We start from the raw sequence: 21490 nt of genomic DNA on the forward strand, positions 1-21490 counted from the left end.
GCTGCTCTGATTTGTGACAATGCCTTTACCTCCTCAGCGTTGGTGCTTCCCAAGTCACAGAAGGAAGCTGAGGATTTGCAGGTGGAGGAAGAATGCTTCATTACCTCTAGAGAAAAATATCCAGTTTGTTCTTGAAGGCACACATTACTAAAGAAGCTCATTAGGCTAGAGAGGTAGTAAACTGCCTCACTTTACCCCAAAGTACCTGCGATCAGTCATCTCTTCTGTAGGTTTCTACGCTATGCCCGCAGGCACTAAATCAGGGTATGTCAACCCTGTCTGCACCTTACAGTCAACAGAGGAGCTTTAAAAAATACTTAAGTTGGCTGGGCACAGTGGGACACGCCTGTAATCCCAGCACTTTGGGAGGCCGAGGCGGGTGGATCACCTAAGGTCAGGAGTTCAAGACCGGCCTGGTCAACATGGCGAAACCCCGTCTCTACTAAAAAATACAAAAATTAGCTGGGCATGGTGGCGAGTGCCCGTAATCCCAGCTACTGGAGAGGCTGAGGCAGGAGAATTGCTTGGACCCAGAAGGCAGAGGTTGCAGTGAGGTGAGATTGCGCCACTGCACTCCAGACTAGGCTAGAAAGTGAGACTGTATCTCAAAACAAACAAACAAACAAACAAACAAACAAACAAAATAAATACTTAAGCCTAGTCCACCCTTACAACCCCTGACCAGGCAACCCTTGACCAAGTGAATCAAAATCTCAAGGTGAGGCTCATTTCAAAAGTTGCCCAGGTGACCCTAATGTGCCGCCAAGAACCGCCACTCGGATGGGTGCTGCTCAAAATTTAGCTGCACAAGAATCACTCAAAGGACTTGTTAAAACACAAGTTCTGGGGTTTCATCTCCTGGAGATTTAGTAGATCTGAATTGGGGCTTGAGAGTGAGCATTTCTAAGGAGCTCCCAGGTGATGCTAGCACCATGGATTAGTTTGCTAGGGCTGCCAACATAAAGTGTCATAGTCCAGGTGGCTTAAACAACAGACATTTATGACCTCACAGCTCTGGAGGCTGCAAGTCTGAGATCAAGGTGTCGGTGGGGTTGTTTTCTTCTGAGATCTCTGTCCTTGGCAATCTCTGTGTCTTTATTTAGTCTTCCTTCTGCTAGTGCATCTGTGTCTAAATTTCCTCTTCTCTAAAGGACATCAATCATATTGAATTAGGGCTCATCTAATGACCTCATTTTAACTCAGTTATTTCTTTAAAAGCCCTATCTCCAAATGCAGTCACGTTCTGAGGTACTGGGGGTTAAGACTTCAACACATGAATTTTGTGGAGACACAAGTCAGCTCCTAAGAGGCTGCTTGCTGGGCATGTGGACCCCACCACCTTGAGTAGCAAGTATCAAAGAACCATTGTGGGTTCACCAAGTAAGTAATTTATAAGAGGTATGATCTTGTATGGCTTCTTTTATATGTCCCTTTAATATTGACAAAATCCTTGAGTTCTCTTTCCATTTCCCTCTGGAGCAAAGTGAGCTAGTGGTCAGTGACAGATGGCAGTCAGAGAAATAGCCAGGGCTGTAGACCGTAGTGAGGACTTTTCACACAAGAAGCACACGGGGGCTTTCTAACTTCAGACTCTCTGCTGAATAATTCCAAGGTGTGGGAGTCATTCCTTTTTTAAGATCTTCCTTTATTAGCCTTCATCTGCCAACTCAGATGTTTAGTGCAAGGTGTCTGTATTTTCCTGTGTTCATGTTCCTTTGTTAATCTACATAGTTATTTATTTTATTTTATTTATTGTGGTAAGAACACTAAACAAGAGATCTACCCCCTTAACAGATTTTGTAGGTATACAATATATTATTGCTAATTTTAGTAGTCCCTGCTTGTCCACAGGGGATACCTTCCAAGACCCTGAGGGGAGCCTGAAACCTCGAATAGTACGGAACCCTATGTATACATCATGTGTCACTTGATGACAGGGATATGCTCTGAGAAATGTGTCACTAGGTGATTTTGTCATTCTGTGAACATCATAGAGTGTACTTGCGCAAACCTAGGTGGTACAGCCTGTTGCTCCTCAGCTACAAACCTGTGTAGTTACTGTACTGAATTTTGTTACTGTACTGGATACTGTAGGCAATTTTAACACAATGGTAAGTATTTGTGTAGCTAAACATAGAAAAGGCACTGTAGAAATACAATATTATAATCTAATGGGACCACTGTCATATACTTGGTCTATTATTGACCAAAATGTCGTTGTGCAGCACATGACTGTATTATGTTTTTTCCTACTACCTACCTACCTATTGTTGTGGGGTGGCAAGGACTACCTGAGCCGGTGGTAGTGAAAGGGGAAAGGGCCTCTTTTCCCCCTTATAGGGCATGCATTGGGGGTGTGGCTCCCTTCTTCAGTGCCCCACTGCTCAAACCTCTAGGGGAGCATACAGATGGGCAGGGTGTTGGGCTCTGACCCCACGGCAGTGTCTAGGGGTGCCGTTTACAGCTGAAGACCCAGTGGGCATGTGTTACAGGGTGCTCTTTTTGTTTAGTTGTCCGGACAACATAGGCGGCTTGTGTTAACGAGCTCATTTAGACCCCCTTCCTTATCACAAGGACAGAGGGATTTTTGTATCCCAGGGTTCTTGCCTTGGTGTACCAGAAGAATCTGATCACACGTGGGCTTGGAGAATGAACTCAAAGTTTTATTGAGTGGAAGTAGCTCTCAGCAGATGGGGGAGCCAGAAGGGAGATGGTTTTCCCCTGGAGTCAGGTCGCCTCTGACTGCTCCGTCCAAATTCTGCGTCCTTCTGCTGGTCAATGGCTTGCCAGTGCTTGTTGGCGTGCTCTTCCACCAGTGTGCTCTCCACAACCAGCCGCTTATGTCTTCTTCTGCCTTGTTGCTCACAACATCCAGCCGCTTGTGTCTCTGCCTTGCTAGGGTCTCGGGCTTTTACATGGCCAGGGTGGTCTTGGAAGATGCAACATTTGGGTGGGAAGGCAGATGTGCCTGTCCTCACCTAGGTCCATGAGGGTAGAGCCCTGGCCAGTGATCACACCCTCCTCTACCCAGCATTTCCCTTTTCCACTTTCATATCATTTAAAGGGACCACTCTCTTCCCTTCCCAGCACTCCCATATCAGTAGGGGATAAAAGAGTTTACCAAGACAGTTGTAAATAAGAAAGGCAGGTTTATTAGAGAAAGTATGAAAATACATTGCCAGGAGGCAGCAGGCAGAACCAGCACAAAAGGAGCGGACTGCAAGGAAACAAAGGTGTATTAGTTATTTCTCACGCTGCTAATGAAGACATACCCAAGACTGAATAATTTATGAAGGAAAGAGGTTTAATTGACTCAGTTCTTCAGGGCTGGGGAGGCCTCAGGAAACTTACAATCATGGCAGAAGGGGAAGCAAATGTCCTTTACGGTGTGGCAGAACCCAGAAGTGCCAAGCAAAAAAAGAAAAGCCCCTCATATAACCATCAGATCTCGTGAGAACTCACTCACTATCACAAGAACAGCATGAAGGTTACCGCCCCCATGATTCAATTACCTCCCACTTGGTCCCTCCCACCACACAGGGGGATTATGGGAACTACAGTTCAAGATGAGATTTGGGTGGGGACACAGCCAAACCATGTCAAAAGGCTTGCTGAGGATTTTATAGAACGGAACTTGGGCTGATTGATAATGCCAAAGCAGCACGGAGCTTAACTTGCATTCTTCTGCCAGCCGGGGTGTTTGAAAAATTGAATCATTTGATGATAAACAGGAAGTTTGGGAGTTCTGTACGTTATCTGTGCAGGAGGGCCATATGTCCTGGGCCATAAAGAAAAGCAGCCCTGTAGCTTATCTGCTTCCTGTTTTTGTTTATATGTTCTGGACCATGAAGAAAGGCAGACATATGGCTTATTTGCTTTATCTCTTTGCTTTCCCCTGGTCCTACAAGCCTGACTCCTTTTCCCTAATTAGGACACCATGCCTATGATAAAGTTTAATTTATAAATTAGGCACTGTAAGAGATGAACAATGATAGCTAGTAATAAAATAGAATAATTGTGATAATATACTGCAATAAAAGTTATGTAAATGTGGTTTCTCTCTCTGTGTCAAAATATTGCATTGTACCCTACTCACCTATTTTCAGACTGTGATTGACCTTGGGTAACTGAAACCTCTAAAAGCAAAACTGCAGTTAAGGAGGAACTACTGTATAGGTACAATGTGGCAGATTTCTAGAGCTTATTCATCTGGCTTTACTGAAACTTGATGCCTGTTGTTAGTACCGTTCCATTTCTCCTCCCCCCAGTGGCTGGCAACTACCATTCCACTCTTTGATTCTATGAATTTGACTGTTTTAGATACCTCATGTAAGTGGAATCATACAGTACTTGTCTTTCTGTGACTGGCTTATTTCACTCAGCACAATGTCCTTAAGCTTAGTCCATATTGTCGCATGAGGCAGGATTTCCTTCTTTGTTAAGGCTGAAGGATATTCTGTTGTGTATATATACCACATTTTTATTTATTTGTTCATCTGCAGATGAACATTTAGGCTGTTTCCACATCTTCACAATATAACGTCAAAAGCATAGGCAACAAAACTAAAAAATAAGTAAGTGAAACTACAATGAACTAAAAAGCTTCTGCAGAGTAAAGAAAATCAGCAGAGTGAAAAGGCAATCCGTGAAGTGGGAGAAAATATTTGCAAACTATTTGATAAGGGGTTAAACCCCAATATATATAAGGAACTCCTACAACTCAATACTAAAAAAACAAAAACAAAAACAAAAACAGAAAAAAACTAGCTTATATAGCTCTGATCTCCATGGAGTGGCTGTTGTAGGATGGTCTGCAGGGCTGACTTGAGGAATGTCATAGGCAGCTCTACCAGGCACTGCAGAGTCACAGCTAAGGCTGGCTGGCTGGGACTTGGATGCATCTACACTTACCTAAACAAGCTGTTTCAAAGTCTCTCACTGGGCATCCCTTCAGCAGCGAGGCTGTAAATCCTGCATGGGAAATGCTAGACCAGGGCCACAGCCTTGCCTACAATCTGCAGTCACTTCACAAGGAAAGGAAAGTCAGGACCCAAGAATCAGACTGGGGCTTGCACAGCCAGAATGAAACCTCTCTAAATGAGTTACTGTTGTCCAGCTCCTTGGGAATTTTTTATGCTGAAAGAAAAGAAAACCCCAAGCTTATGTTCCAAAAGAGATTTTTGGTTTATTTGGATGATAAGATAAAAAGTGAGTTGCAGCCTAAAGGAAACAAAATAGCCTTCTAGTTTTTTTTTTTTTTTTGAGACGGAATTTTGTTCTTGTTGCCCAGGCTGGAAGTGCAACAGCGCGATCTCAGCTCACCGCAACCTCCGCCTCCTGGGTTCAAGCGATTCTCCTGCCTCACTGCCCGAGTAGCTGGGATTACAGGCATGCGCCATCATGTCCAGCTAATTTTGTGTTTTTAGTAGAGACGGGGTTTCTCCATGTTGGTCAGGCTGGCCTCGAACTCCCAACCTCAGGTGATCTGCCCGCCTCGGCCTCCCAAAGTGCTGGGATTACAGGCGTGAGCCACCGCGCCCGACATCCTTCTAGTTGTTTTTAAGGTGCATGCAATTCAGCAGGGCCAGCTGAAGGCTGCATGCATTCTGCTGTGGAAATAGTTTAAATACTCTATTTAAAGTAATGTAATGCAGCATGATATAAAAATTTTAAGTCTCACTGTAAGGAAGTGACTTGTAAACTGTTCTCAATTGCTGCCTAGCATCTGAGAGTGCCCCTTCAGTTAGCAAACTGTAATCCTCTTCATTCTCCATGTCAGGAGAACCATGGTTGTTCAAAGACATCTGAAATTCTGTGAGTGAGGTTAGTATTTATTAGATTGTTATTCTAATATTGACTGTTACTATAATTTGAAAGATTTTACAAATCTTATAAAAATGTCATTCAAGTGATGATGTTGCTAAAACTGGACGGAAAAAAAACGCAACTATAAATCAGAAAGTCCAGCATAAAATTTAGATAGGAGAAAATGGTATGAATAAGGCAAATTATTACTGTACTATTAATTTAGGAGACTGCCTATTAATTTAGGAGACTATAGGAAAAATTAAAAATAGTGCTAAAAAATGAAAAGCAACATGAAAGCAAAAATGTGCTCCAATAGTGATAGGTTTTTGTACTCCCAGAATTCATCTCTCATACTCTTTATTTATTCCTATGGAAAAATGAATCTTGAATTATGAGAGATCTCCAAAAACTTGTTCTTTGAAGAAAAATGACCCTCTCTGTATGACACCATTTAGTTCACAAGAATCAAATTGTATGGCAATGCCAGTTGTTTATGTTGAAGAGCTAGAACTTGAGCAAACATCTCATAACTGTAGGGCAGGTAGTTTATCCTGAAAAATCATAGCAAGCATAAGGTAATTCATCCTTAGACATTATGGCAAGATAAAAGATGATATGTGTGTGGAATCTGCTTGTACATAGGAATAGATCTATGAAGTGATGCTGATTGAACACAATTAGAATTGAAAATAATATGCACAGTTATTATAGCTATGGAAAAATATAAACTTGCCTACTGATAAAGATAGAGACAATGTGAACTGATGTAAAAGGTTAGATATACAATGTAAATGTGTATTCACTGGATTCTCATTTCATTTGCTGTATAGTTGTTTGTGTGATTAATAAAAGCAAATTGGAGTGGCTGCCAGGGCTGGAAAAGGAAAGGGAGAGAGAATGAATAGGTGGAGCACAGAGGATTTTTAGGGCGGTGAAATTACTCTGTGTGATATTGTAATGGTAGAAACATGCCATCATACATTTATTCAAACCCATAGAATATACACCACAACGAGTGGACCCTAATGTAAACTATGGACTTTAGTTAATAATAATGATCAATATTGGCTCATCAAGTTTTTAACAATTGTACCACACTAATGCAAGATGTTAATAAGAGAAATTGGGGGACAGGGTAGGGAGCAGAGGTATATATGGGAATTCTATATTTTTTGCTAAATTTTTCTGTAAACCTAAAATGCTAAAAAAGAAAAGAAAGCCTATTAATTTTTTTACAAAAATAAATTAGTGGAAGAAGAGACTGCTGCAGGATAGATTCTTGGGGAAATCTTGACTCATCCACACAAATCAGGTTAAAACATGCTTGAAGTTTATTTTGCATGAAGCAGCATTATTTATTTTGCAAAGGCAATAAGGAATAAGAACTAAATGAGAGCAATAAAAATACCTCGCACCCATTGCCAAAATAAACTTTCTCATTTGGTTGACTGTCATGAACATTAAATCTATCCAGATGAATCTATTTCACTCTTTATAGGCAAAGTTCCAAATCTCCCTAGGCTTATTTATTAAGTAAACACTGTATCTTAGCAATTCTCACTACAGGATTCACCATATTAACAAACATATATGAAGGTGTTTAACAAAGTGCTTTATTGTTAGTATCTTGTTGATCAGCAATAACACATTTCATTTTGTTCTGAGAACATACAGGTTTTGCTCAGGCAGAGAACCAAGTCTTCAACTCCCTCTCTGTGGTGGGAGTTTGGCTAATCCAGGAGAACTCAAACTGGCTCTCCACAATCAGACTCCAACCTCCTCCAGCCCAAGAGCCACCTACATCCTTCTCCCTCATGCCGCACACTGCCTTCTCTGCCTTGAATCATGGCCATAAACTCAGGTGTATGAAAAGCATGACTTTATTCTCCATAACTCAGCTTGCTTTCTGACTTTGAGCCTTTTTACCCCCAACTCGGCTGGTGGAAAAACAGTCTCGCACCTTTCTGAATTTTCAGGTGCTAAGATGTTGAGTGGTGGGGCTGGAGGGCTGGGGTTAGGGGATAATGGGAGGGAAGGCAGATTGGGATGGTCCTCTGGGCCCTGGTCCACACGGGTTACTGCTAGGATGTGTTCTTTTCCTCCATATGTTCCCTTTGGGTCCTCCAGCTTCCTGCTGCCTTTCTAGCCTGCCCAGGATGCAGGAGCCTTTGATGAGGCTCCTTTAATTCTTTCTACTTAGACATAGCCATTTTCTCTCTAGGGCTTTCTTTCCTAAATAGTGACCATGTTGCAAAGCCAGGCATGATCCTTTCTGCTCCTAGAACCCACAGCCTCTCCTTTTTTCTTTTTACCCCCACCCATGGAAAACTCTTTCCAGTCTGGGGATGACACAGCTTCTTTTTCTTTAATCTCCTCCACAATGCCCCACCTCTTGGATTCCCTAAGGGTGTAAGCTTTTGGAACAAGGAGCAAAAAAACACTTTCAAGCTTTATCTGTGTTCTCCCTTGCTACATTCCTTCCCCAAGGCAATGAGGCCAAGAGCCTTCTCTAAGGAAGGGAGAGGAGCCCTAGAGAGAGAAAAAGAAAGAAATCCACATTTCAAAGTATTATTTGGCCATGATATGGTTTGGCTGTGTCCCCACTCAAATCTCAACTTGAATTCTCCCAGAATTCCAATGTGTTGTGGGAGGGACTGAGAAGGAGGTAACGGAATCATGGGGGCTGGTCTTTCCTATGCTATTATCATGATAGTCTATAAGTCTCAAGAGATCTGATGGGTTTATTGGGGGTCTCCACTTTTCCTTCCTCCTCATTTTTTCTCTTGCCACTGCCATGTAAGAAGTGCCTTTCACCTCCCACCATGATTCTGAGGCCTCCCCACTCATGTGGAACTGTAAGTCCAATTAAACCTCTTTTTCTTCCCAGTTTCATGTATGTTTTTATCAGCAGCATGAAAACAGACTAATACAGTAAATTGGTACCAGTAGAGTGGGGCACTGCTGAAACGATACCCAAAAATGTGGAAGAAACTTTGGAACTGGGTAACAGGCAGAGGCTGGAACAGTTTGGAGGGCTCAGAAGAAGCCAGGAAAATGTGGGAAAGTTTGGACTTCCTAGAGACTTGTTGAATGGCTTTGACAAAAAATCGATAATGATATGGACAATGAAATCCAGGCTGAAGTTGTCTCAGATGGAGATGAGGAACTTGTTGGGAACTGGAGCAAAGGCGACTCTTGTTATGTTTTAGCAAAGAGACTGGCAGCATTTTGCTCCTGCCTTAGAGATTTGTGGAAATTTGAACTTGAGAGAGATGATTTAGAGCATCTGGCAGAAGAAATTTCTAAGCAGCAAAGCATTCAAAAGTTGACTTGGGTGCTGTTAAAAGCATTCTGTTTTAAAAGGGAAAAAAAGAACATGAGGGTTTCAAAAATTTGCAGCCTATGATGCAGTAGAAAAGAAAAGCCCATTTTTTGAGGAGAAATTCAAGCCAGCTGCAGAAATTTGCATAACTAGCAAGGATCCTAATGTTAATCCCCAAGACCATGGGGAAAATGTCTCCAGGCCATTTCAGGGACCTTCATGGCAGCCCCTCCCATCACAGGCCTGGAGGCCTAGGAGGAAAAAGTGGTTTTGTGGGCCAGGCCCAGGGTCCCCATGCTATGTTCAGCCTAGGGACTTGGTGCTCTGTGTCCCATCTGCTCCAGCCTTGGCTGAAAAGGGCCAACACAGAGCTCGAGCTGTGGCTTCAGAGGGTGGAAGCTTCAAGCCTTGGCAGCTTCCACTTGGTGTTGAGCCTGCGGGTGCACAGAAGTCAAGAATTGAGGTTTGGGAACCTCCACTTAGATTTCAGAAGATGTATGGAAATACTTGGATGTCCAGGCAAAAGTTTGCTGCAGGGCGGGGCCCTCATGGAGAACCTCTTCTAGGGCAGTGTGGAAGGGAAATGTGGGGTCAGAGCCCCCACACAGAGTCCCTACTGGGGCACTGCCTAGTGGAGCTGAGAGAAGAGGGTCACTGTCCTCCAGACCCCAGAATGGTAGATCCACCAACAGCTTGTACTGTGCACCTGGAAAAGCTGCAGACATTCAATGCAAGCCTGTGAAAGCAGCCAGGAGGGAGGCTCTACCCTGCAAAGCCACAGGGGTACAGCTGCTCAAGACCATGGGAACCCATCTCTTGTGGGTGACCTGGATGTGAGACCTGGAGTCAAAGGAGATCATTTAGGATCTTTAAAATTTGACTGCCCTGCTGGGTTTCAGACTTATATGGGGCCTGCTACCCCTTTGGTTTGGCCAATTTCTCCCATTTGGCATGACTGTATGTACACAATACCTGTACTCCCATTGTATCTAGGAAGTAACTAGCTTGCTTTTGATTTTACAGGCTCATAGGAGGAAGGGATTTGCCTTGTTTCAAATGAGACTTTGTACTGTGCACTTTGGGTTAATGCTGAAATGAGTTAAGACTTTGGGGGACTGTTGGGAAGGCATGATTGGTTTTGAAATGTGAGCACATGAGATTTGGAGGGGCCAGGGGCGGAATGATATGGTTTGGCTATGTTCCCACCCAAATCTCAACTTGAATTGTATCTCCCAGAATTCCCACAGGTTATGGGAGGATCCAGGGGGAGGTAATTGAATCATGGGGGCCAGTCTTTCCCGTGCTATTCTCATGATAGTGAATAAGTGTCACAAGATCTGATGGGTTTATCAGGGGTTTCCACTTTTGCTTTTTCCTCATCTTCCTCTTGCTGCTGCCATGTAAGAAGTGCCTTTCACCTCCCGCCATGATTCTGAGGCCTCCCCAGCCATGTGGAAATGTAAGTCAAATTAAACCTCCTTTTCTTCCCAATTTCAGTATATCTTTATCAGCAGCATGAAAACGGACTAATACAGGCCATGTATTTTATTTGTATGTAGTTCTTATCTCCCCTAGTAAAATTTCAGCTTCCAGATAGCCGGAGTTATTTCTCAACAGAGTGAAGTCAGAAGGTGTGTTTCCCAGACAATCTCCAGGGTTTCTCCAAGAAGCTTTCAAGAAAGCCCTGTGGCTACCCTGTGGGTTGGCCACACTGGTCCCTGCTGCTAAGTGGTAAGACTTCCCTTCCCAGCCGATGCCAACCATCACATATGTGGTCACCTTTGGAGACATTGGATACCTCTCAACACAGTTCAGCTGAGAGGAAACTGAAGGAATGAGACATAGGACAGATAAGTTTCAATGGAAGAAGATGAAGATAAGGAAAAGAAAAGGCCATAGCCTCCCATGGGTGACTGGGATGAGAAATAAAATATGAAAGTGAAATTGCCTTTGTAAAAATTATAACAGAAAAACATGACAGTAAAAGAGATCTGACCTAACCAAGTCCATCTTGGCCTTAACCTCCAAACTGTCCTTGGTCATTCCTGGGCATGGGCCAAGCTAATTTTTGGAGAAATTTAGCTTATAGTGTAACCTTAAAGCAAGGATAATAATAGCCCTTCCCAAAACTAAACTAAAGTCTGCAAAGTTAGGATTACAAGAGGGGCTTGAATTCTGCTAAGATGTATGCATAGTTAAATGATAACCTGCCATTGTTCCAGAGGTTACAAGATTTGTAACTTCCCCAATTACTCCTGTAAATGACATCAGTATTGTAGAACATAAGATTTGCTTTTTGAGTTGTCTTTTCTGACTTTTCCATTTCTCACAACCTGATGAGTCCACTCATGACTCAACTAGTCCTGTGGCTCCTCCCCAAAAGCGGACTCAGGGCAGAAGGACTATTTCCACACCCTATGAGTGCATCCCCAACCAATCAGCAGCACCCATTCCCTAGCCCCCACCACCAAACTATCTTTAAAAAATCCTAGCCTCCAAATTTTCAAGGAGGCTGATTTGAGTAATAATAAATCTCCAGCCTTCTGGTTAGCTGGCTCTACATGTATTAAACTCTTTCTCTGTTGCAATTTCTGTCCCAATAAATTGGCTCTGTCTGGGCAGCCAGCAAGATGAACCCATTGGATGGTTACAAAAAGACCTCAGAAACCAGTCCAGAATTTATAATTTTGTCCAAGATAGGCCCTGTTTCTGTGGAAAGGGGATTGTGTGAGCCCATTGACTTTCTTTTTTGTGAGTTGTCTGATGAAACCTTTATTCAATCTCTACTCAACTAAGCAGGGAGGCCGCAATGGCAGTATTTGGCTCCAGGTTTTTTCATGTGGGCTGGAGCCCCAGGGCCCAGGTGGGTGGCCCACCGCTGGGAGGCACCATACCCATGGAGAAGAAGGACAATGACAACAAGCTCTTTGCTCCAGTGGCCATTCTGTTCACCACTCCCCTCTTGCTTCCACTGCTCAGGACTCAAATGTTCTCCACAGTTCCTTGCAGCTCTAAATCTTTTCAAAGTCCTTAACAGTCTTATTGTCAGCCTTTCTAGTCCTCTAGCATTTCCTATATACAGAGAGGACAATATGTCATCTTAGCCTCACAGCTGGGCCTAGATAATATGTTTGGGTGCCCAGCCTTCTGTTACCCACTGGGAATGAAAAGTGCAGCAATTGGCAGGAGGAGGTAGCCTTTCCCTCTCCACCTCCTGAGTAAGTGACTCTAAGGTGTCCTGATCTCAAAATGTGATGAAAACCAGCTAAGGAGGCTCTGCAGGGATGTCTCATCACAGGGTGAGCTTATATACATCTGGTTTTACACCTTTAACCATGGAAGGCCAACATCCTTATTCAAACCACATCTGAGCTTCTGCTTGATCCTTAACCTGAGTTCAGTTCTGAAGGTGCATGCAGACTTGGAGAGTAATTAATTGTACTGTATAAGACGGACATACATGCCCCCTGGGAGATCTGCTTAAATTCCAGAGCTGGATGCTAAGTGAACCCATCTAGTGAGAGCAGGGTCAAGGCCTCATTCGTCTCTGGACCCCAGTGACCAGCCCTGTGTCTGCCACCTTGTAGCCACTCTGGCAGTGTTTACTGTACTGAAATGAAACTGCATTTAGTCCATATTTGTGGAATTTGGATCAATTTATCAGACTTTTTAATATCCCCAAGTAAGTCTCAGGCTCTAAAATAAATAAATAAATAAACTAGCTTCATTAAATGACCCAGAGATCATAATTCTTTGGCTTTGCTTTTCTTACTGCTCTCCACATCCCCCAAGCATTAAGGAGTGCAGAGCACAAAAGAGGAGAGATTGAAGGGAAAGTCCCTTCTGATTGTCAGGCTAGAGACTCATGTGCTTTTATGGAATAAGTATTTTGTACCAGGACTGGACAACATAGTAGCTTCCTTATGAGAGAAGATGAAAGGAATGATGATGTTGGCCAGAGCAGGAAAAAAATACCGAAGGTTCGCTCTTCCTTCTGGCTAGCTGTTCAGCTCCTTAAAGCAAAACAATCCTTCTCTCTGGCATATGTGTTAAATCTGGCCCTACTGTGGCTTTTTCCCCCAACAGTTCAAAGCAAGTTCCCTAATTATTATCCTTATTTAGGCTCAGCTAACCCTATAAACAGGACCTCTTAGGTTGCTGCTATTGTTTTGAAACTTCCTTGGCTTTGGAGATGGTCTACGACTTATTTACTAATTGCAGAATCTAAAACTATTGGTGGGGTTTTCACTCACAATTCTCACTTGTTGGTACAAATGGAGCAACTTATATCAAAAGATAAAATTATGACACATTTAGTTTAAAAATCTAAGTGAATTTTATTAGCTATTCTATAACTGGGCAACACTTCAATCTATAGAATAGAATGAGTGTTCTCCTGGGTGTGGCAGAATAGATTTTGTAAGTGGGAACAAGGAAACAATAATTTTTAAAAAATTTTTTCAGAATGCATCATTGGAACAGAGGAAACAATAATTTTAAAAAGTAGATTGGTTAACACAAGCTTACTACAGGTCACTTCTTATAAGGGTTAAAGCAGAGGGGACTTCCTTATTATGCTGACTCAGGCAAACTTGGCTTTTTCTGGTTGCTGTGAATCTCTTGTTTTCAGGAGAACGCTAGTCCATTTGGGGATTTACCTGCTTCAGCTAACATAAATGACTCCATTTTGGTTTGGTCTGGTCTGCTGGAGCCTAGTGCAGGAGACTAGTCCAAAACAATGCCTTCCTATAAACTTTGTTTAACACTTGATTGAAAAGGAATTGAATTCTCTAAACCTCCAAAAGATTCCAAATGGTTGCTGTTTGACCTTGTGGTGTACAACATGGTTGGGTCTTGAAAATATTATACTATGTGAAAAAATCCTGACATGAGACAATGTATCATATGGTTCTACGTATATAAGATACCCAGAATAGGGAACTTCACAAAGACAGAAAATAGATAAGTGGTTGGGGGTTCAGGGGAGGAGAGAATGGAAACTGGCTGCTAATAGGTACAGGGTTTCTCTTTGGAGATGTCTTAGTTTGGGCTGTGTATTAGTCCATTCTCACACTGCTATAAAGAACTGCCCAGCAGTAATTATAATTTATTAGGAAATAAGTTCAATTAACTCACAGTTCCACAGGGTTGGAGAGGCCTTAGGAAACTCACAATCACGGCGGAAGGGGAAGCAAACACGTCCTTCTTCACGTGGTGGAAGGAAGGAGCAATGCTGAGCAAAGGGGGAGAAGCCTGTTATAAAACAATCATATCTCATGAGAACTCATTCATTATCATGAGAACAGCATAGGGGTAACTGCCCCCATGATTCAATTACCTCCTACCCAGTCATTCCCCTGACACATGGGAATTATGGGAACTGCGGTTCAAGATGAGATTTGGGTGGGACACAACCAAACCATATTGGGCTGTGATATGGTTTGGATGTTGTGCCCAAATCTCATGTTGAATTGTAGTCCCCAGTGTTGGAGGTGGGGTCTGGTGGGAGGTGTTTGGATCATAAGGGTGGATCCCTCATGAATGGCTTGGGGCCATCCCCTTGGTGATAAGTGAGCTCTCTCTCTGAGTTCACATGAGATCTAGTCATTTAAAAATGTGTGCCACCTGCCCCCTCAACTCTCTCTTACTTGCTCCTGCTTTCGCCATGTGATGTGCCTGTTCCCCCGTTGCCTTCTGTCATAATTGTAAGCTTCCTGGGGCCTTTCTGGAAGCCAGGCAGATGCCAGCACCATGCTTCCTGTAGAAGCTTTCTTCCTTGCAGAACCATGAGCCAATTAAACCTCTTTTCTTTAAAAATTACCCAGGCTCAGGTACTTCTTTATAGCAATGCAAGAATGGCCTAATATAGGTCTGCTATAACAAATTAACATATACTGGGTGCCTTAAACAACAAACATTTATTTCTCACAGTTCTAGAGGCTGGGAAGTCCAAGATCAAGGAGCTGGTGGATCTTGTGTCTGGTGAAAGCCCACTTGCTGGTTTGCAGATGCTGTCTTCTCATTGTATCCTCATATACTAGAGAGCAGAGGGCTCTTGTGTCTCTTCCTTGTAAGAGCACTAATCTCATTCATGAGGCCTCCACCCTCATGACTTAGTCACCTCCCAAAGGCACCTCCTGATACTATCACATTGGGGGTTAGGATTTCAACATATGAATTTTGGAGGGACACAAATATTTAGTCTATAGCAGGAGTGATGGGAATGTTCTGGAATTATATAGAAGTAATGGTTATATGACATGAAAAATGGACAAAAAATCAGCAAATCAAATTTTAAAATGGTGGATTTTGTTATGTGGATTATATCTCAACTTAAAACATTTAAAATTACTATTACCAGTACAACACATATTTATTGAATGTTTAGTAGCCTGTGAGGTGCTCTGCTGGGTCCAGGTTCTAGAATCTAGAGTAGTGGTTCTCAACTTTGGCTGCATATTAAAATCACGTGGGAGCTTTTAAGAATCCTGATGCCCAGGCCACACCCCAGACCAATTAAATCAGAATCTCTGGGGTGGGATCCAGGCCACAGTGGTTTTTAAAGCTCCCTAGGTAATTCCAGGATGCAGCCAAGGTTAAGCGCCACCAGCCTAGAGCATCATGCCTTCTTAACAGGTTGGGGTCACTTGAGAAGTGACTGCTCTTTCTCCCTGTCTACTTTTATCCAAGAACAGCAATCCGCAAAGACAACTGCATGCCCTCAAGAACAGACTCCCCTTCCAAGTCGAAATGGCTCCTTAATTTCTCCTGTTTAACTGATACTTTCATTTTTGTGGGTGACTCAGAAATGTTCAGTAGTTTAGCTTTACAGTTTTTTTTCTCCTTTTGGATTAGGTTGATTCAACTGTGGGCAGAGATTCATTCATTCCACTTTGGAACAAAAGTCAGATTCTGTCCAAATATGTTGGCACCTCTGCTCTGAAAAACCTGAATTTTATCATTTGTAAATTTCTGAGTGAAAAATTAAGATACAACATACATGTGAGGGCTTTTACACACGTCTGTGCTCTCTCTTCTGCATTGATCATCCAACTTTAGCAGTTCATTTAACTGTCTTTAATTTTGGCCTCCCAGCTTTGGTGTTCTAAATCCTCCATTGTTAGCAGCTCACCAAGTTGCTTTGCTGTCACATTGACTCTGTTTGATAAATCTATCTGGGATTTTGTCCAAAACCACAGCAGTCCGAATTAAATCTACCAACCAAAGTAGAACATGTTTTCATTCATCCCCAGAAGCTGGAGCCAATTTGTGAAGAAGATGGAAATGGGCAAAGAAATAGAAATGGGAGATTTTAAACAGCCATAAAGAGTAGTAACAGCGGATGGGCACAGTGGCTCATGCTTGTAATCTCAGCACTTTGGGAGGCCATGGTGGGTGGATCACATGAGGTCAGGAGTTCAAGACCAGCCCGACTAACGTGGTTAAACCCCATCTCTACTAAATACAAAAAATTAGCCAGGCATGGTGGCACATGCCTTTAATCCCAGCCACTTGGGAGGCTGAGACAGGAGAATCACTTTAACCCAGGAGGTGGAGGTTGCAGTGAGCCAAGATCACACCACTGCACTCTAGCCTGGGCAACACAGAGAGACTCTGTCTCAAAAAACAAAACAAAACAAAAAGGCAACAGCTACTTCAGGTTATAGAAGGGCCAAGCATGCAGGGTTTTAGCTAGTTAGTGACCCACCCTTGGCTCCCTTGGTTGGAGGCAAAGGGGGTGAATACAAAGGATCAGTTTTGGTGCTGCTCATGGCGACTGCAAGGAGAGGAAACTCTAGAAGAAAGACAGAGAAAAGACTGGTGGCCACAAGAAATGTCTGGCAAGTACGTAAGAACACAAAAAACTATAGAGGCCTGTGGAGTGGAAGAAATTCAGACAAGAAAGGGTGGGGAAGTAACAAGCATGTGCTTTTAGATCTGTCTTTTGATAGCAATGGAATCTAGCCATCTATCTGGAATGACAGTACAATGCACAAATCTTAAGAGTATAGCTCAATGAATTTTTACACAAATACACCTCTGAGGCCACCAGCCAAATCAAGATTTATCAATAGAATATTTCCATCTTCCCAGAAAATTCTCTCATACCCTGTCCAGTTCAAAAGCCCCCTCCCCTCACCTATAAGTAGCTCTTATTCTTATTTATCACCACGGGTTAGCTTTGCCTGTTCTTGAAGTTCATATGAATGGAATAATACAGCATATACTCATTTGCAGATGGCTCTTCTTGCATAACATGTTTTTGAGATCCATCTATATTGCTAAATGTATCAATTATTTTCTAAATTATTGCCATATAGTATTGTATAAATATGTCATAACATTTATCCATTCTCCTGTTACTGGACAAACCCAGAAGGGTTGTTCTGAGTTTGCAGCAATTATGAATGAACTGCTATGAATATTGGTGTCCATGCCTTCTTGTGGATGTACACATTCAACTTTTCTTGGGTATATAGCTAGGCGTGGAATTGCCCAGTCATGGAATGGGTACATATTTAACTTTAGTAGATATTGTCGAACACCGTTTTCCCAAAGAAATTGTATCATTTTACACTTTCACCAACAATGAAAATTCTAGTGGTCATTTGTGAGATGAAAAGAAAGTCAGCAGCTACGTTAACCTTGGCCAAGTCCTGGCAGCACGAAATTTGCAAGGACCTGTGAGATATGGAGCCAGTAATGCTTTGCAGCTGACAGATGAAAGACAAACAATAAAAACAGAGGTGAGAGGGGAAGCCTGTAACTGTCTTACCCCCACCAGTGCCAGCAGGAAGGAAATCCTAAGCTATTTTTAGGCAGTTTCCTAGCATGGACATTAGCTAGTTAAAAGGGAAGGGGATGGAATGGGAGATGCTAAAATTGTTTTCAATTAACTTACTGAAAAACAAACATAGGCAAGGTAGGCAGCAATGCTTCTCATATTTCATTGGGCATCAGAATGTTTGGGGAGCTGGTTAAAAATATAGATTCCCAAGCCCTACCTGCAGAGGTTCTAATTTAATAATTCTAGTGGTAGGAAAAAAATTTGATTTGTATTTTTAACTTTTTTTGTTTGTTTGTTTTGAGACAGGGTCTCACTCTGTCACCCAGGCTGGAGTGCAGTGGCATGATCCATAGCTCACTGTAACCTCGAACTCCTGAGCTCAAGCAATCCTCCCACCTCAGCCTCCTAAATAGCTGGGACTACAGGTGCATGCCACCATGCTTGGCTAATTAAAAATTTTTTTTTGTAGAGACAGGGTCTCGCCATGTCGCCCAGGCTGATCTTAAGCTCTTGGCCTCAAGAAATCCTCCCACCTGGGTCCCCCAAAGTGCTGGGATGACAGATGTGAGGCACTGCATCTGGACTACCCGACTCATCTTTAGATGGCTCTGGAAGTCCTGGAAGAGGGCGTGGCCGCCAAACTGGTTTTGCGTCTTGGAGAGACACTGGGCACCCTAGTGCTTCTTCTCCACCAATTTGTGGAAGAAGTAGGCCAGGTGCTGTGGCTTATGACTACAACCCCAGCACTTTGGGAGGGTGAAGCAGTAAGATCACTTGAGCCCAGGGGTTCGAGACCAGCCTGGGCAAGACTCACTCTCTACAAAAATAAAACAAAAAGTTATCTGGGTGTGGTGGTGCACACCGGTTGTCTGAGGTACTCGAGAGGCTGAGTCGGGAGGATCACTTAAGCCCAGGAGGTCAAAGCTAAAGTAAGCATGATTGTCCCACTGCCACTGCACTCCAGCCTGGGTGACTGAGGGACACCCTTCCCTCCAACCAAAAAAAAAAGTGGCCCACGCCTTCCAGAGCCACATCATCATGGTTGAAATAGAAGCCCAGAGAGAAGTAATTGTAGGAAGCCCACAGATGGAGTTGATGGCTGCCTCCACATATGTCGAATAATTCTGCTAAATCTGGGAACTCATGGTTGGTCGGTCAGCAATAGGGAGCTAACCACAAAAATGGTGTGGCTGGTCCTAACACAGTCAGGTGGGAAGGGTTACCAGAAAAACTCCAACTAGCCTGTGCGCTAGGGTGGAGCCTTGAGAAGTTCACGCAGTTTGCAGCACGGAAGAGCCTGGCCCCTCCTCTTCCTGTGTGGAACCTGGGATTCAAACTGCGAGGCAGGAAGAGCACCAAGAGGAACTGCGGCCTTTCGGAGAGTCCCTGTTCCCCTCTTTTTTCCTTTTCACCCAATAAAGCTCTGCTTTACTCACCCTTCAAACCGTCTTCAAGCCTAAACTCTCGTGGCTGTGGGACAATGACTCCATCTTTAGCTGAACTAAGGAAAAGTCCTGCAACAGCCCCAGAAGCAGGAGATGGTGGAGAAGGTGATTCTGGAGGTTGCAGGTGGAGAGGAGATGGGAGGGCAGTCAGAGGCTAGAAGAAAGGGAGTCCCAGGTCCGTTTTATCCAAACATCGTTGAAGCAAGAGACAGATCCACAGACCAACAAACGCGCTAACAAGTGTCCTCTTAAGCACACGAAAATTGGGGAAAAATTTCCACCATCCACTTTGTCCCCTGGAGTTCTTAGTCCCACTTACAAGTTAAAAAGCGAGATGCAGGCCGGGCACGGTGGCTCATGCTTGTAATCCCAGCACTTTGGGAGGCTGAGGCGGGCAGATCAGCTGAGGTCAGGAGTTCAAGACCAGCCTGCCAACATGGTGAAACCCTGTCTCTACTAAAAATACAAAAATTAGCCCGCGTGGTGGTGGGCGCCTGTAATCCCAGCTACTCGGGAAGCTCAGGCAGGAGAATCACTTGAATCAGGGAGGCGAAGGTTGCCGTGAGCCAAGGTCTCACCATTGCACTCCAGCCTGGGCAACAAGAGTGAAACTCTGTCTCAAAATAAATAAATAAATAAATAAATAAATAAATAAATAAATAAATAATGAGATGCAGCGTTTTTCCTACCTTCCTTTTTGCCAAAAAGGACAATCACAATAGATAATTCTCAGCCCTTCTTTTTAAGGGATTTATGGTCAATGAGAAATAAAAATAAAATCCTAAGCCTCCCAAATGACTGAACGGACTATTTCTTGGCCAACGGGACTCCAGTGAAACCTTGGAAGCTGCATTCTCAGCCAAGACTGAATGGGGAGGTCGGACACACCTCATTAGAGCACAGATTGGTTCTGTCCAGTCTATGGAGAATGCGCGGTGAGGATTTCCATGACCTTTCCCCCACTTTTTGACTTCAGAGGACTGAAAATTCCATTCTTGGGCCGGGTGCGGTGGCTGACGCCTGTAATCCCAGCACTTTGGGAGCCCCAGGCCGGTGGATGGCTTGAGGTCAGGAGATCAAGACCAGCCTGGCCAACATGGCGAAACCCCATCTCTACTAAAAATACAAAAATTGGCCAGGCATGGTAGTGCGTGCCTGTAATCTCATCTACTCGGGAGGCTGAGGCAGGAGAATGGCGTGAACCCGGGAGGCGGAGCTTGCAGTGAGCCGAGATTGCGCCACTGCAGTCCGCAGTCCGGCCTGGGCGACAGAGCGAGACTCCGTCTCAAAAAAAAAAAAAAAAAAAAAAAAAAAAAGAATCGCTTGAACCTGGGAGGCGGAGGTTGCAGTGAACCGAGATCGCGCCATTGCAATATAGCCTGGGTGACAAAGCCAGACTCCTTCTCAAACAAACAAACAAGCAAACACTCCATTCTTGTATCAATGCTAACACCACCGTTTTGGGAACGTGGTTCCCATGGAGAGGCATGACGCTCAGTTGCACATGCACATGTTCCTCCTCTCATAATTATTCATCACTCCTCCTATACCTCATTGAATATGTATATTTGGCCACCCTGCTCACCATACATTCCTGTCTTATTCTTTCCACCGTTGAAGTGTCTGTTTCCGGGCCCTGGCTGGATGCTATGCCTCCCGGCTCATAAGAATGGCCACCCTACAGGATGCAAACTTGTAAGAGAAATAAAACTCTCCTTTCTGAATTATGAACTTCACCATTCTTCTGTTGACATTTGTTTCTATGTTGAGCAATGAAGTGATATCAAAAATTACTAATATAGTGTAAGGGAGAAAACACAATTTCTTTTTTTTTTCTTTTCTTTTTTTTTTTCTTCCATTTTTAGGTTCTTAGTTGAGACACTCTCCTAAAAACAAAAGTCAGATTAAAAAGAGGAAAACAAGCAGAAGTTCATTAGTGGATGCTGCGCCCACCATGCAAGACAGGCCTCAGTTTAAAAGTATTACTCAAGCTAGCTTGGGGCCTAGATTAAATACTATATTAACAAAGAGCCATAAATCCTACACAGTGACAAGACAAAGGAAAGAGTGGCTCCAGTCTTTTAAAAGGCAGGAAAATGTGGGAAGATCATAAAATCTGTTCCCCGA

At 43.4% G+C, this 21490-nt stretch overlaps 1 protein-coding gene across 3 annotated transcripts in view, besides 2 other annotated features; it reads left to right on the forward strand.

Annotated features, from left to right (window-relative positions):
- The window catches only part of SPMAP2L (sperm microtubule associated protein 2 like), a 95609-nt gene extending 84535 nt beyond the window's left edge, over positions 1-11074 (forward strand). The window contains exons 11-12 of one of the 3 annotated variants that reach the window (XR_941041.2): positions 1219-1380; positions 10536-10575. Coding sequence is in view for 2 of the 3 variants with exons in the window: in XM_011534357.2 (XP_011532659.1) it covers positions 10536-10589; positions 10690-10727 (92 nt within the window). In the remaining variant the exon portion in view is untranslated. Of the gene's footprint in view, positions 1-1218; positions 1381-5779; positions 5824-10535; positions 10590-10689 lie in introns of those variants that run through there. The other 2 variants (XM_011534357.2, XM_011534361.3) reach the window with 2 other exon arrangements.
- Positions 4074-4163: a silencer, noted in NCBI's record as "silent region_15452". NCBI's record gives its function as "represses an Ori minimal core promoter by ATAC-STARR-seq in GM12878 lymphoblastoid cells {active_cell/tissue: GM12878}" and the evidence as "EXISTENCE:reporter gene assay evidence [ECO:0000049][PMID:35858748]".
- Positions 20517-21017: an enhancer, noted in NCBI's record as "H3K27ac hESC enhancer chr4:57501823-57502323 (GRCh37/hg19 assembly coordinates)". NCBI's record gives its function as "activates a minimal SCP1, AML or CMV promoter by ChIP-STARR-seq in primed H9 embryonic stem cells {active_cell/tissue: H9 hESC(primed)}" and the evidence as "EXISTENCE:reporter gene assay evidence [ECO:0000049][PMID:30033119]".

This window comes from Homo sapiens, chromosome 4 (assembly GCF_000001405.40).
Source record: "Homo sapiens chromosome 4, GRCh38.p14 Primary Assembly".
Taxonomy (NCBI): domain Eukaryota; kingdom Metazoa; phylum Chordata; class Mammalia; order Primates; family Hominidae; genus Homo; species Homo sapiens.